The following is a 16,271-nucleotide window of genomic DNA, read 5'->3' as shown; positions in this document are numbered from 1 at the left end:
CCTTATAAAGACTAAGCACGTAACCATAGGCAATCAAGTTACCATTGGAACTGAGCTGCCCATCAAAACATCATAAACTGGGTGTTGTCTGACCGCAAGTTTGGGCATGCACCTATATGACATTGGGCTATATGCAGAAGAGGCCTACATGACACTGGGCGTCAGCAGACTCTGAAGACAAAGTACATTGCGTAAGAAAGTGCCCAAATACACATAGCCCCTACTCCTTCTATACTACCAGGCCTACATCTATGGCTTCATGAGAAGTTCCCTACAACCAACTGACTAAGAATGAGAAAACACAGACCTCATTTAAAGATGACACTGCACAATATGCCTCTCCACCAAAAAGTGAACAGTGACAGCATGATAGCTGTTTTCTGGGACATTCCTGAAGAATAGTGGTGAAGGGAATCCTGCCAATGAACGGAACTTTGAGCAGTACACCTGATTGTTCCTGTTACCTCAGAGCTGAAATCGCCAGATGTAAGAGTCTGTATTTATTCACAGATAGTGGCCAATGGTTTGGTGGATGCTCAAAGAAGTAGAATGAACACAACTGTGAAATTGATGATAAGCAAGTCTAGGGAAGAGGTATGTGGAAAGACTTTTCTAAATGGGCAAATTATATTTGTATCCCAAATGATGACTTTAGCAGATGATTTTTAATAATCTAGGATAGTATGACTCAGTCTATGGATATCAGTCAACCTCTTTCCCCATCCACTCCTGTCATTGTTCTTTGGGTTTATGAAAAAGGTAATCATGATGGCATGAATGGAGGTTTTGCATAGGTTCAACAACCTGGACCTCAAGTTACCAAACCTGAACTGTCTATAGCTCTGCTGATTGCCCAATCTGCCAGCAGTGGAGAACGACAATGGATGCCTGATATGGCTCCATTTCCTGAGGTGATCAGCCAGCGACCTAGTTGCAAGTTGATTAGATAGAGCTCTTTCTCTCAGGGAAAAAGCAACACTTTGTTTACTGGAATAGATACTTCAAATATGGACTTATGCCAAAAGTATCATCCATGGGCTTAGTGAATGCTTTATCTACCATCATAGTATTCTACATATTATTGTTTCTAATCAAGTAATTTGGTTCACATCATATGATATGTGGCTTTGGGCCCATTAACATGGAATTCACTGGTCTGACCATGTTCTCTCCTCCTGATGTATCTATCTGTATTAAGGGTGAACTGGCATTTTGAAGTCTCACTTATAGCACTTGGTGGTAACAATACCTTGCACAACTGAAACACTGTCCTGCAGGTTACTCTATATCATCATCCACTATATGGTACTATTTCTTCTACAAAATAATTAGTTCAGGAATCAAAGTGGGGAGATAGGAGTGGCTCCCCTCACTGTTTTCCCTAGTAATGTAATATAAACATTTTTTGCTTCCTGTCCTTTTGACCTTAGACTCTGTTGGCCTAGAGGTCTTACTTCAAAAGAAAAGAAAACTTCCATCAAGAATTAGGTATCACCATGAATCACCACAATGAGTCCATTGAACTGGAAGTTGAAACTCTCATCTGGCCACTTTGAGCTTCCCATGCATCTGAATTGAGAGAAAAAAGAAAATGCGGTTAGTGTACAGGCCAAGGTAATTGATTCTGATTAACAATATAAAATTTGATTTCGACTACACAGTGAAGGTAAGAAAAAGTATGTTTGGAATATAGCAGATCCCATACAGTATCTCTTAGTAGTCCTACCATGTACTGTGATAAAAGTCAATGGAAAATATAAAAACTGATTTCAGAAAGGACTGCTGTTACTCCAGATCGTTTAAGAATTAAGATTTGGGTCGCTCCACTTGGACAAGTACCACAACTAGCTTAAGTACTTGCTCAGGGCAAAAGGAATACAGACAAGTGATGGGAGAAGGTATTATGACCATGTTACCAGCTGCAGATATGAGCACTGAAGATCTGTAATAGTTACAGGTATTTCTTGTTTGTTAGGAGTTTGTGTGTGAGACACACACACACTAAATTTTTGCTCTCTTCCTTCTCTTATACCCTTACCATCTAACATAAGGTTAATAATAAATTTATATAGCAGTATTTGATTTACAGAATATTAAATAAGAGTGAACATCACCCAAGGACCTTGTATCCTCTTCTGGGAAAAGGGTTAGAATATTTGCCATTGTGTGTACAGTTGTCCATTGAACAACAAGGGTTTGAACTGTGTGGGTTCACTTACTATATGCAGACTTTTTTCAATAAATACAGTGCGCCCTTCATTATAAGTTTCTCATCTGTAACCAAATGCAGATTAAAAATGCAGTTATTTATGGTATGCAAAACTTTTCCTATCCCTGAGTTCTGCAGGGCCAACTATGGGACTTGATTATGGGTGGGTTTTGATATCTGCAGGGGTTCCTGGAACTAATGTCCCATGTACATGAAGGAGTGACTATAGTTATATCATGTTAGATGGAAGTCTGACTTTGTTACTGTCTTTAGTTGGAGATTAGGTATGGTTTAAGAAGATATATTTGGAGGCCATATTTTATATGTTCATTCATATTTCTAAAAGACATATTTCTGGGTGAAACAAAAGTTTTAAAACTATATAACTATTAGCTTATATTATAAAATTATTAAGTTTATAATCAAATATAGCCACAGTAACATAATAAAATTTACTCTCACAGTCTCAAAATGTCTAGGTTTTAAATATGGCAAATTAGTGTTAAATTTACAATAACAACTAATATTAAACATGTCCTTAATTTGCACCTCTTCACAAAAGAGAGTTTCTCTATGTACAGCACTGTACAATACTGGTGGTAGTTAGTTCCTTCAGCCCACTGAAGCTATCATTTCACTGGTTTCCATTCTTTTGGTTGTTTAGCTAACTTCCTTGCCTTTGAAGCTAATTTGTCTTTTTTGCTGTTGTTCATGACTACTTTGCAAAACTTCTCTTATTTTTGGTATGTTTCTTTTTTCAAAACGATAAACTCATCTTTAACCACCTGTTGTGTTATGTTAAATATTGTACTAACATAGTATATATATATATGTGAACTCTCTCTAATCCACATTTTGTAAATGAAGAATTTGAGTTTTAATGATGTGGTTGCTTGTCCAAGGACACAAAGCTAGTAAGTTGCAGCCTGGATTCAAACCTAGATGGCCCTATTTCCAGAATCACTGATTTTAAATCACGACTTGACATTGCTTAATTTTTTTGTTGTTGTTGCCTTTTAAGTTATCCACTATCTTTCACTGCCTGTGGTAAACACATTCAGAAACACTTTCATCACTTTTGAAAAATTCTGTCATCTTCAAATATTACTGCAAACCAAATTTTGCTTTCCTTTCCTTCTAGAAATATGGTTAAATGTATTTTAGAATTTCTTATTTTGTCTTACATGTTAACATCTTGTTTTATGTTTTCCATCTTTCTTCCTCTCAGCACTGCTTTTTGAATAACCTTTTCTGTCATATTCACTTCATTAATCCTTTCTCCAGCTGTGTCTAATCTGTTGTTAAACTCCTTTATTGAATTGTAAGTTACATTTGTTCTATTCTGCTCTTATAGATTACTTTTTTTTAATTCCACTGAGTAACTTCTTTGGTTTTATGATCATTGCAGATATTTTCAAGCTAGTCTTTAGTTTCTTCAAACCTATTAAACAGCTTCAGAATGTCTGGAATTTAAATATAACTAATTAGTAACAGCATTCACTATTCTAGATATGTATAAATGACTCATAACTGGGATTTTTTTATTGCCTAAAATATTTGAAGGTTTATATCTAATGGTTAACACCTTAGAACCTAATCCCTTTGCATGCTTATGTTTGATTCTTTCATGTTCAATGCCCTTGAAAATATTCTTACAGGAATTTTTTAAATTTTATAAGGAATAATCTTTTCTCCACTGAAGGTTTGATTTGCTTCTGCCAGGAACATGAAAACACTAATATGCTGTGATCACTTTATACTAGAATTGTAGCTTGAAGGCTTTTGCCCAGCACCAGTCAACTATTTTTGTCATCTTCTAGATTTTGGATTTGCAGTAGGACAGTTCATTTTGACTTCCCTCTTTCCCTAATGGTATATTTCTTCCTAGCCCAAAATGTGCACTCTCTGTGTGTGTGTGTGTGTGTGTGTGTGTGCGTGTGTGTGTGTGTGTGTGTGAGTAGGCTTTCAGCTATAGGAAATCCTTGAAATCTGTGCTGTTTCTCTCATAAAGTTGGAGCAAATTCTCTCTTAGAGAAGATTCAATAGTAAGCTTAAATTGTATATGCTTTTAAAAAATAATTGCCTGGTATTTTCTTATTGTTTTGCAATTAATGTAGTTAAGCTTTAAAATTTATTTTGTTAAACATTTTCATAGATTTCTTTAGAAACATCATAGTAATAAATTATAAATGGCAAATTTTTACAGCCAAATAAACAGAATAGACAAACCAGTCATTTTGGACAATTTGACAGTCAAAATGACTTGTATTTCTTAAATCAGAAAATGCAGATATATGGTGTCATTTACTATACTTCAACAATAAATTATTGTTATTTTTGTGTGAAAGTTTTATATTCAGAGTAGATTGTATGGCCAGGTGAGAAAATGCAAATTAAGCAAAGAAAATAATTGGTTAATATAGGGAATTAATTTTACTCAGTAATAAGGAGAAGTTTGGAAGAATGGATGAGGAGGAAAATTTCTGGATTGTTTATATTAACTGATTTTGTCACTACATATTTGTTTGGTGTTTCACCTTAATCTATCTAGATCAATATCATTTGACACTGTGAAAAATTGATTTTAAGAAATCCTGGTCATATGCAGTTGCTCCCACATGTAACCCCAGAACTTTGGGAGGCCAAGGAGGTGGATTTCTTGAGCTTAGGAGTTCGAGACCAGCCTGGGCAACATGGTGAAACCCGTCTCTATGAAAATACAAAAGATTAGCTGAGCGTGCTGGCATGCTCCTGTAGTCTAAGCTACTTGAGGGGCGGAGGCTGGAATTTTGCTCAAGCCTAGGAGGTCCAGACTTCAGTTTGCTGAGATCACACCACTGCACTCCAACCAGGGTGACAAAGTGAGACCCTGTCTCAAAAAATAAATAAATAAAAGAAAAGAAAAGAAAAAAGAAAAAAAAAGAAATCCTATCTATTATTTAAAAGTTTACATGGTTAATCAGCCTCTTATACAATTGCACCATCATTTTGTCTTAAAGCAAACCTAAAAATGTGATACATTCTAAAGAACAGCCATCAAATATGTACATTAATTAGTTAATAGTGCATACCTTACCATTATCTAATAAAAATTATATACAGTTGTTCTATATGTGGAATTGACTTGCTAGGTAACATCCAATAAAATCATTATTTATTTTCAAAGGTGATGTTTACATGTGTATGTATAGATATATATAATATAGATATGTATATTTCCAGAATAAGTTTTTCTGCTTAATGTATTTATCTAGTCAATCTAGTATATGACAACTTCACTATAAACATATCTAATTTTTGATGACCAATAGTCACGTTGTTTTGCCAATTTAAAACTAGTTTATTATTTTATACTTATCAATGAATACTTGTTTCTGATTCATATCAAGTAAGCTCATGCTTAAAAAATGTATATGAAGTTGAAAACAACTTAGGCAAGTAAAATACCCTAAAAAAATCCGTTTAAAGTGTTTATCCTAATTAGTAAAAAGAGAGAGGTGGCTTTTAAAATTAAAATTAAAGTTTTATTTGTTGCCTCAGTTCTTGAGAAATGTCATATGTGATATAGCCCATTGGGTTGTATATTGTGTATTATCTTGTGCTAAGTCACAACAGATGATTAAGCTCTTTAAAAATTAGTATAAGAAGATAAATTAATTAAGACATAAACTTATTCTAAAGTTTTCTAATTAGCAACTTATTGGTTGTTACAGTACATATAGATAAAATATATTTTATCTGGAATTCTTAAAAGAATGGATGGTATATTGCTTTGCTTTAAAAATATTAGAAAAATCTTAATAGGCTTTGCCTGCAAGCAGTGAAATTGTATTACAGACTTCTCAAGTATCGGCAGTTTTTATGTTTGTTGCTGTTTTTTGTTTGTTTTGGTTTGGTTTTTTTTGAGAAAGTGTCTCCATAGGTCACCCATCGCCCAGACTGGAGTGCAGGATGTGATCATAGCTCAGTGTAGCCTCAAATTCCTGGACTTAAGTGATCCTCCCACCTCAGCTTCCCAAGCAGCTGGGACCACAGGTGTGCACCACTGCACCTGGCTAAATTTTAAAATTTTTTGTAGAGTTGGGATCTCACCATGTTTCCCAGGCTGGTCTCAATTTCTTGGGTTAAAGCAATTCTCCCACCTTTGCCTCCCAAAGTGCTGGGATTACAGGAGTGAGTCACCAGACTCGGCCATAGCAGTTCTTTTTAAGAAGGTATGTGACAATTGGTAAAGTGGGCAACTTGCAAGAAGTCGATAATAGGAAATATAATACAGTTAGCCATGGAAACTGGTACTGCTTTTTATACTACAGAAACAATATTTATGTATGCATGTCTGTGTGTGTATGTACATGTGTATATATATATACACACATACTAATTTTTATCATTAATATGAGTCAGTTCCTTACTAGGTCAGTTGCTTCTCTTTGTAGAATATATCTTTTTAAAAAATTTAACCAATTAGCTGCTTCTTTTAGAAGTTACCCACTGGAATTCATAAAAGAGATGAAAGAGAGCGAGAGAGAGAGAGAAAGAGAGAGAGATGACTATTAGCCAAGTACTTGAAATTACTAGGACAAAGGCATGGATAAAATAGAGCTCCTGCTTTCATGGAGCTTTACAATCAGCTAGTATATAAATTATATAGGGTATGTAGAAATTATATAAATTATGTCAGTGATAAACATCTGAAAAATGAAGAAAGATAAGTGTTTACAGCACAATGGTGTGGAGGTGATTGTGCTGGTATGCTGGTATTCTGGGTAATCACAGATGGTTTTTCTTAAGATACCTAAGTAGAAATTTGAAAGGAGTGAGGGAGTAAGGCAAGCATGTATCTGGCAGCTAGTCGTTCAGGTGAAAAAGAGACCAAATTCCAAGGCTGTGAGCTAGCTTGATGTGGTTGAGAATTACAAGGAGTTTAGTGCTGTCAGCAGTAAAACATATTGAGGCTACAGAAGATGAGGTAGGAAAGGCATTTAGAGCCAGGTTTTGTGGAAATTTTAGGGCCATGTAAAGACGTTGGATTTAACCTAGGTAAGTAGACAGGGTATTTAAAGATTTCAGCTGAGAATCTCTGGCTGATTTGCAGAGAAGATAGAAAATACCAGGAGGTCTTTCCTAGATAGTGAGTTGAAATTAAGTAATAGGTATGCAGGTGAGAAAAAAAGTAGTGAGTTTCCAAATAATTTATACAGCTTACTGATTACTTGAATCTGATGTTCAGAAGAAAACTTTCTCTTGCTCTTTCTACCCCTTTTAACCTCCTCTCTATCATCCTGCTTCCTTTCTTTCCTTTCTTCTTTCCTTCCTGACACCATTTCCATAATGTCAACTTTTTCATTCCTAGCAACTCATCAAAGACTCTTAAACTAGCCAAGGTTCAAAGTGTAAAAGATAATGCTACCTATACTATATGAAAAGAACAAAAGGAAATGGTATTATCAGCAAGTTGTTTTGTAAATTCCTTTCTCTACATTATCCTATTCCATTTGATGCTGATGAATATCTTCGTTATGTACATGTGTACATGAGTGAAATTATTCACTTAATCTAGCAGTACATAGTATGCAGAACACTTAGAGGAGAGGTAAATTTATGAAGAAAACATTCTGATACTTCAAAGACTGAACTATTATAATAGATTCAGTGACAGTCTCAACTTCTATCAATCCCCATACAATATCATAATAGCTATGTTGAAAATAATGTATCATTTAAATGAACAAAAACCTAGAATGATTCAAAAACAACTAAGTCAAGATACCTATCACTCTCAAACTTTGACTCTGAGATAGATGACTTAGCATCTATCTTAGAGCGAAAGTTTAAAACATAAGCACAAATGTTTTATGACTCACATTACAATAAACAAACACATGTGCAAGCCAAACATACCTTCTTCTTGGGTTCACAATTTCATTTATAATGGGGTCTGGAGTTTGGCAGCCAAGTTCCTACTTTTTCAGTAGTTGATATTTACTATAGTGATTTCACATTGGGCTTAGAGCCAAAGGTTGCTTTGACAGATTTACATAAGGGAGTATTGCTGTGGTTCTCCTGTTGTTTTTTGTTTTATCACCTGCTTATTGACGACAACTTAGAATCACTAAATTTGGCAGTACAACATGTGAGTGATAAAATTATTAATAATCGAAAGACATTATGAAACATATGCATTCTCTGAATACTTCTAACAATAACAGTTATTCTATCCTTAAGTATTACAACAATGTTTGAAGATCTTTTAAATGTACTTGTACAAGTTTTAAATGAAAAAATGTCTTTGAAATTGCCTCTTAACCCCTAAAATCTTTCTGAAATCTCCACACTTGTCTCCATCTCTATTGCGATGCACCTCACCTGACTCACTTGAGCCTGCACCATTGCCATAAACTAACAGCTAGCTGTGCTTTCTGGTTTCTTTTTTTTTTTTTTTTTTTTGAGACGGAGTCTTGCTCTGTCACCCAGGCTGGAGTGCAGCAGCGTGATCTCAGCTCACTGCAACCTCCGTCTCCTGGGTTCAAGCGATTCTCCTGCCTCAGCCTCCTGAGTAGCTGGGATTACAAGCACGCATCAGCCCGCCCAGCTAAGTTTTGTATTTTTAGTAGAGACGGGGGTTTCACCATGTTGGTCAGACTAGTCTCAAACTCCTGGCCTTGTGATCTGCCCACCTTGGACTCCCAAAGTGCTGGGATTACAGGCTTGAGCCACCTAGCCTGGTTTGTTTGTTTCAACCCCCACAGCGACACCTGACACCTCACTCCCACTCCCTTACTCCCCTGCTCCGGTTTCTGTTTTTTCTTCAGAAGACACAGTAATCTTTTAATCCTATTAGGGCACTACTAGCTTCATATTCTAAATGAATACCTAGGGTTCAAATCCAATTTTCTTAATCTGGTGTGTACAATATTATTTGAGAGCCCCTCTCTTTCCCTCTCCAACTTATTTCTTTTTCTTTTTGCTTATTGTAGTTCCAACTAGCTATCTATAGATGTTTTTTGTTGCCCGGATGCCAAACTGTTTGTTCCTTCTTTCAAGTCAATGCACCTGGTGCTACCTCAGTCTAAATGCTTATCATCCAGATATTCCCACCTGTTTTTCTAATTGTAAAGTGTCAGCTTCCACCTCCTCAGGGAAAACTTTCTTGATTATCCAATCATAAATTATAACCCCTACCCAGTCATGTCATATCAAAGCAACTTTTTCACGGTTACCTGCTATGCTCACGTTGATTTATTAATTTTACTATCTATAACCAGAACAAAACTTTATGAAAGTAATACATTTGCTAGATTTCAAATTTCCTTTTGCTTTTCTTTCTCCATTACTAAACCTGCAGTTTTAAGAATGCTATCTGGTATTTAATGGGTGAAGAGTACAGGCCAGTTATGTTGTGCTTCTTTGATCATTTCATAAGGTTAGATTTGGGATATGCACATTTGGTAGGAATAACACAGAAGTGATATTTCGCTCTTTTAAATGTATACTCAGGTGGTCACATGAGATTAATTTGTTTTTTTATTAATGATATGAACTTTGATCACCTTATTAATGTGGAATCTACAAGATTTCTCCATTGTAAAGCTACCACATTTCCCTATGTATTTAAAAAGTTTCTTACAGGAGTATACTTTGAGATTATCTCCATATCCTATTACTCCTTAACTTTTTTACCCCAACATTTTAGCATCCATTTATCGTTTCTATTTTTATGATTATAAAATTGTTATCTAGCTAAATTATCCCACTAAATTTATTCATTTTGTTAAGGTAGGATCAGCCATTTTTCCTAATCATATTTTTTCTTTTGTCATCCAGTATCTTTCATTTATCATCCAATATCTTCTGGAGAAATAGTTCTTATGATTCTTCAAGTATTTACGTACCAGTGTAGCATCCATCCATAAGTTTGATAGTTGCAAAATGATGGTTCCTAATTTAATAACTTCTTTTAAATGTATTTGGTGAAATTCTAATGTAAATTTGTCCTTCTTTTCTATTTATTTAATTATTTATTTATAACAATGCAGGCTTTTGGATTCTTTCTAAAGAGATGCTTTGTCTTTTAATGTTGTTATTTATTTTGTTGCTCACATTGTTTCAGATTTCGATGGTAGATCTCCTTCAAGCTGGCCTTTTTGCTCTACTGACATTTTTCATTCATTGCTTGAGTACTTCCTTATTTTCAGGTTTCTGCCAGAAAAGTGAGAGCTTTATTTGGGTCCCATCTGTGCTCCTTCCTGTTTGGGTGCCATTCCCTTTAGGAACTTTCCAGTGAACAAGCCAGGGAGTTGATGTATATATTTGTATATGTGCATGTATATAGATGTGTATACACATATCCTTCTGCATGTGTACAGATATACACATATTTATATACACAAATGCATATTATATATGTGTTTATCTCTCCATATCTTAAAATCATAAGGTGAATTCAAGCAGAGTTTTTAAATTCCATTTAAATACGACAGTTTCTTTTTTCTCCTTCCATATTTTTGTCAGCATAAAAAATGAATATGAATCTCTAAGTAAAAATGTTTTCTTTGGGAATAATATACAAGAAATAGGATTGTTATTTGGGATATACATACAGAGCAAGTGGCCTCCAATGTGTCTGGAGAATAAAAGAAAAAGTTAGGTTTTACTAGGGAAAGAAGAGTGGATTTGAAAGAAAGTTGCCAAAAAAGTTTATTGGCACTGGCTGCATCTTACAAGATTGGACGAGCTCTGATTGGTGCCTGTCAGTAGGTAGAACTTGTTCTAGGTAGAATTTGTAATCTTGGAATTAGGATTAGGCCCTTGCAGTTTTGGACTGGGTTTGAAAGACAATATGTCAGGCAAGTGTTCTTGTATAAGTAGCTGGCTGTCCTGCTGCTACTAGCTGTCCTTGTGTGACTCATGTAGTAAGCTGTGATTTGAAAAAAAAAAAATTATTTTGATAGTTTTTGTTACCAGGCAAATCATATATTAGAGCACTCTCTTTATAGCCTTTCCAGGCTCCATTTTACCATGTTATCTGGATGACTTTCACATTTGTAATCCATTTTCTGACAGTGGAAACTTTACATCTATCATCCACAACATATTTATTAATGTGCTAAGGTCTAAAATGCACAAAAATTAGTTCAGAATTGTCGATCTATGCCTTGGCAAAAAAGAAGACTTCTAACTATGGCTCAATATTTGTGTAAAGATTATTTATTCTCTATCCTTGATCCATAGCTTCCAAAAACTGTGTTCATGAGTTAACTGATACAGTTCTTTCTGTTCCTCTTCAGTGTGGTTATGTTTTTACATTGAAATATTGTAATTCATTTGTTTTATTTTGTAGTCCATTTTAGTTCCCCTGTCACTTGTGGATTTTATTTAGTTTTATTAGTCATTCTGTTGTAGTTTCCCTAGTTATCCACTTGTTTGAAGGAGGTTCTTCTCATAGTAGATATTAATGAATGGTTCATAGATGTAAAATATCCTAAACTCTTGGTATTTAAAACCATATCTATAGTCTCAATGAAGGAAGAACAGTTTTACTGGCTATAATACCTAGGTTAAAATGTTCTTGCCAGCCAGGCGCAGTGGCTCATGACTTTTAATCCCAGCACTTTGGGAGGCCAAGGCAGGTGGATCACAAGGTCAGGAGTTCAAGACCAGCCTGGCCAATATGGTGAAACCCTGTCTCTACTAAAAATACAAAAATTAGTCGAGCGTGGTGGCGTGCACCTGTAGTCCCAGCTACCCGGGAGGCTGATGCAGGAAAATCACTTGAACCTGGGAGGCAGAGGTTGCAGTGAGCCAAGATTGCACCATTGCACCCTAGCCTAGGTGACAGAGTGAGATTCATCTCAAAAAAAAAAAAAAAAAAAGTTCTTGCTGTAGCTCTGTTTTATTTTCTTTATGTGTTGTTTTTGAGAATCCTGATGCCAACCTAATTCTAATACATGTGTAAATCATTTAATCTTTCTTCCTGGAGGCACTGTGTATTTATTCCTTCTTAATAATTAATTGTTTTCTTAGAATATATCATGGGGTTGATCATTGTAAGTCAATTTTTACTAGTTCCCTTTTGAACAAATATGTATACATTTGAATCTGTAGGAATACATATAGGTAGATTCAAATATTATCGTATGTTCAGAAAGTGCTATGGTTTTATTTTATGCTTCAGAAAGTGCAATGATATGTAAATAACTTTGTCTTTCATTTCAATCAATTACTCTCTAACTCTTTTTATTGCTGTATTATATTCTCATTATATCTTGGTTGTTTTCCTCATTTCCTTCCATTTCTCTCATTATATTTTTAATAACATCTATTATTCCTCTAGCAGATTTTCCTTTAGTCTTTATGACTGTTATTAGTTTTGTTAATATTTCCTTTTGTTTCTTTTTCCTTCTTTTTCATTTATTTTTTTAATTTCTAATTTTTTCTCTAATTTTATTTATCCATTTTTGTCCATTCTGGTTTTACGTTTTAAATATTTAATTTAGACTTTTTGAGTTTTTTTTTTTAAATCTCAAATACTTGTTACAGGTAATTTAAGTTTGAAGAGTTATTACAACTTACTTTTCCGTTAGCATTTTTTTCTCAGGGTAGGTAAGGATTCAAGGAAGTTTTATCAGCTGTACTAGGTGGTTATCATTTTCACTCTTCTTTTTATAATCATTTTGTACTTACGCCAACTACATTTCTGAGAACATGGCTGGTGATTGGATGTTAAATACAAGATTTCAAATTCAAAAATACTCTCTTTTTCAGTGAAGAAAGTATGATTCATTTACTGAATATCTTTTTGGGGAAAGGCGTCAATTCTTTGATATATTTTGTCATAAAGGATTTAAAATCTCCCCTCTGCCTCTTTTGTTTTCATCATACAGTTTCCAATGTTTGCTTTTTCTTTCCCCTTAATCTTCTCTTCCACTGGAAGCATTACCTTTCCAAAGCTACCACCTTGTGTCCGGTTCCATTGTTAACTGTTTTCCTTGTAGTTCATTCGCTGATGTACCAGTATACCTTCTCAGTAGGTTTGCATTTTGCATGAGTGTTGCTAGCTGTGGTCTTCAATTAATTTTAGGATTTCAGCTAATTCCCTTTTTCTCCTTCATGCATAATATTTTTTGTTTGTTTTTATTTTGTTTTACAAAATGCATTCCCTGCTTGAGAAGTTTTAGGGTAGGGGAATGAAGTAGAATATTCTTCATTGAAATTTGGTACTCCTTTTTCTACTTCCAAGTAATTATAACTCTGAATGTTTTCTTTTTTGTTTTGCTCAGAGCATGAATTTATTTATTCATTTATTTACCTACTTATTTATTTTTATTTTATAGTTTTTCTTGGTCTTTGCTGTATGTTTTTAAAATATAGTATGTTATATGATATATATACAATATAATATATGACTCTATCACTAATATTTTAGATCAATGTTGTATAACACATGTATATTTGTATGTATAAATGTATATGTACTCATATATGCAAGATGTGTATTTATCTAGGCTTCTTATTAAGTGTGCTATTTTAATAAAAGTCTTTGAATTATTATATACTTAAACACACTATAATTTTTCATAGAGATCATTCTTCATTATAATTATTTTTCAAAAAGTTCTTAGGATTTTCCAGGTTATTATCAGGATAAATTTAGAATCATTTTACCAGTTCAATGTTTTTTTTTTTACCAGTTCAATTTTTATAAAATTAAAACAAAAATTAATTTTTAAAATAAAATGTATATCATTTTGATATTGAATGTTTTATTTGTAGGATATTTTTAGTCCTTATTTAAAATTGCTTACATATGCAAGATTCTATGTAAATAGCCAACTAGTTTTCTCTGATTGCATAATTACGTAGATCATTTCTAACTGTTATATTTGTTTCCAAATGTTTGTTGCTTGTATAATTTTTGTTTCTTGCTCATGTCTTCCAGAACCTTTCACTTCATAGTACATAGTATATGTAGTAAATAGTTTATATTCCGTTACTGTTATATCTAATGTCTGAATTCAATGCTGATCTGATTCTGATATCCGCTTTCTTCTGGAGAATCTCTATAATCATTTATTGTTCTGAAATCATATAAAAGATTATAAATCTTTATAATCATTTAATCTGAGCCAATGCTCATGATATTTTTCTATAGTAATTATTTAAGGCCTAAATAGAAGCTATGCTCCTCAGAGAGGATTTGCATTTGCTTTTTCAAATCACTGGAGGAATTATTTATATCAGACTACTACAGTTTAATGCCACGCTTTAAACCACACTGGTCATGTGAATATTCTATTTAATTTTACATGATGCTTAAACTGTGCTTTTGAATATTCAAGGTATGTGTGTGTGCGCATGTGTATGTGTATATGTGTGTGTTTACATTAGCCACAAATTAAAGACAGATAAATTTTCTTGCTGACCACTTCTGTGCAATAGGATTATATTTTGCTGTTCACCTTTTCCCTGAGGGTGTTCTCATTTAAAGTCAGCTTAATGGAATAAGTGTTTAACTGGATTTCTCATCATTGGAGAAGAACCTTAAACTTTAACTCCCATGTCTACACCTATCTAGTCATCTAAAAAATGGTTCAAGTTAACCAGTTTTTCCTGGTTGCCTTAAGTGTAAAGATGTTTAGGGTACTTGCTTACTTAAAAGAATTCCTACTTTCACTTGATTTGGGCTCTGGGATTCTATATTCCTATGTGAATGATTAACTTAAGTAATTTTATTACTTATTTCCAATTTTTAGCTTATTTTTTCCTCAATGAAAAAATGTAAATCAGTCAACAATGATGCTAGATATGGGAATCCCAGCATCCCTTTAAGTGATTTTGTGAATCTGGTAATTAGTAATTTTAATAAGTAATATTTTTTGCTGGACTGCATATAGATTTTCATTTTATTTATTTTTTGATATGTCTTAGACTTCTATATAGAAACAGTGCTTGCAAATGGACAAAGTGTATGGCTATTCTTAATTTTGGATAATACTTACACTCTCAAAATCTAGTAAGCATTTAGCTGTAGTTTATTGGGTTTAGGAATTTATTTTTCCACTTGTTTGTTTACTACTTAATGTAAGATAAAACACGTTCATCCTATATGCATTGATACCTTTATTTTACAATGGAAATAGAATATACAGGAATTTTAAGAGTTTGATGGGTTTTTATTATGAATAAATCCATCTATGTAGCAATTAGATATTTGTACAATCTGGCTTCTTTTCTCTCTGGGAGGAGAGGTAGTCAATGGGAGCCTACATAAAAACGAATACCATGTTGAACAATTAGTTCAGGATTTGTTTCATTTTAGATAGCCAAATATGTTGCTGTTGTTGTTTGTTTTAAAGTTGGCTCTATATTTATTATTACAAATAGGTTTATATTATAAATAATTTTTGTGTTTTACAATGAGTTTTCCTGTTTTTGTTTTCTTCATTGGAACTTCAGTGGAAAAGTGTTAAAGACTAAATCATATACCCATTGCTAAGTTATATTAGAGGTTGCAATTATATATTTCAGTAGTTGGCAAAGTTATCACTCTTCTGTTTGTTTCTCCATTGAATATGATATGTTTTACAATAGAAATTATTACAAAAGAGCCCAGGAAAGAACTTAGAAATCTTTCCAGTTTTCTTTTCTTTAATCTTACACTGTCTTGCTTAGTTCCCTAGCTTTTCTCTTTCAATTTTTTTCTGCCCTAAGTTTCAAAACATTTATTGTATTCTAATATTTGAAGCTTGGGGAGTATTTTTTTAAATATCATCAAAATAAGCACACTTTGTCATTTAGATATTTCCAAGGATGAGGGATGAGAATAAACTCAGAAGACACTTATCTGAATAAGTGTTGTATTAAAGCAAGTTTGAATGTTCTGTTGCCCTTCCACAGAAGGTGCATTAGTCACAGACCTCTGATGAATCAGAGTCCCATTTGATCTGCAAGATATTAGCAAAGGCACAGGGTAAGAGTGCATTTGAACAAACATGTAATTGTCAAGTGTCCATTCTGGTGGTTACAACAGATTGACATGAGGTTCGTTGAGATTCTGCTCTGC

At 33.7% G+C, this 16,271-nt stretch overlaps 1 annotated feature.

Moving 5' to 3' along the window:
- Positions 714-1,913: an enhancer, noted in NCBI's record as "CDK7 strongly-dependent group 2 enhancer chr4:133440023-133441222 (GRCh37/hg19 assembly coordinates)". NCBI's record gives its function as "activates an origin of replication core promoter dependent on BRD2, BRD4, P300/CBP, MED14 and CDK7 cofactors, with strong dependence on CDK7, by STARR-seq in HCT116 cells {active_cell/tissue: HCT116}" and the evidence as "EXISTENCE:reporter gene assay evidence [ECO:0000049][PMID:35650434]".

This window comes from Homo sapiens, chromosome 4 (assembly GCF_000001405.40).
Source record: "Homo sapiens chromosome 4, GRCh38.p14 Primary Assembly".
Classification (NCBI taxonomy): domain Eukaryota; kingdom Metazoa; phylum Chordata; class Mammalia; order Primates; family Hominidae; genus Homo; species Homo sapiens.
This window is presented reverse-complemented; position numbering and strand designations above follow the sequence as displayed.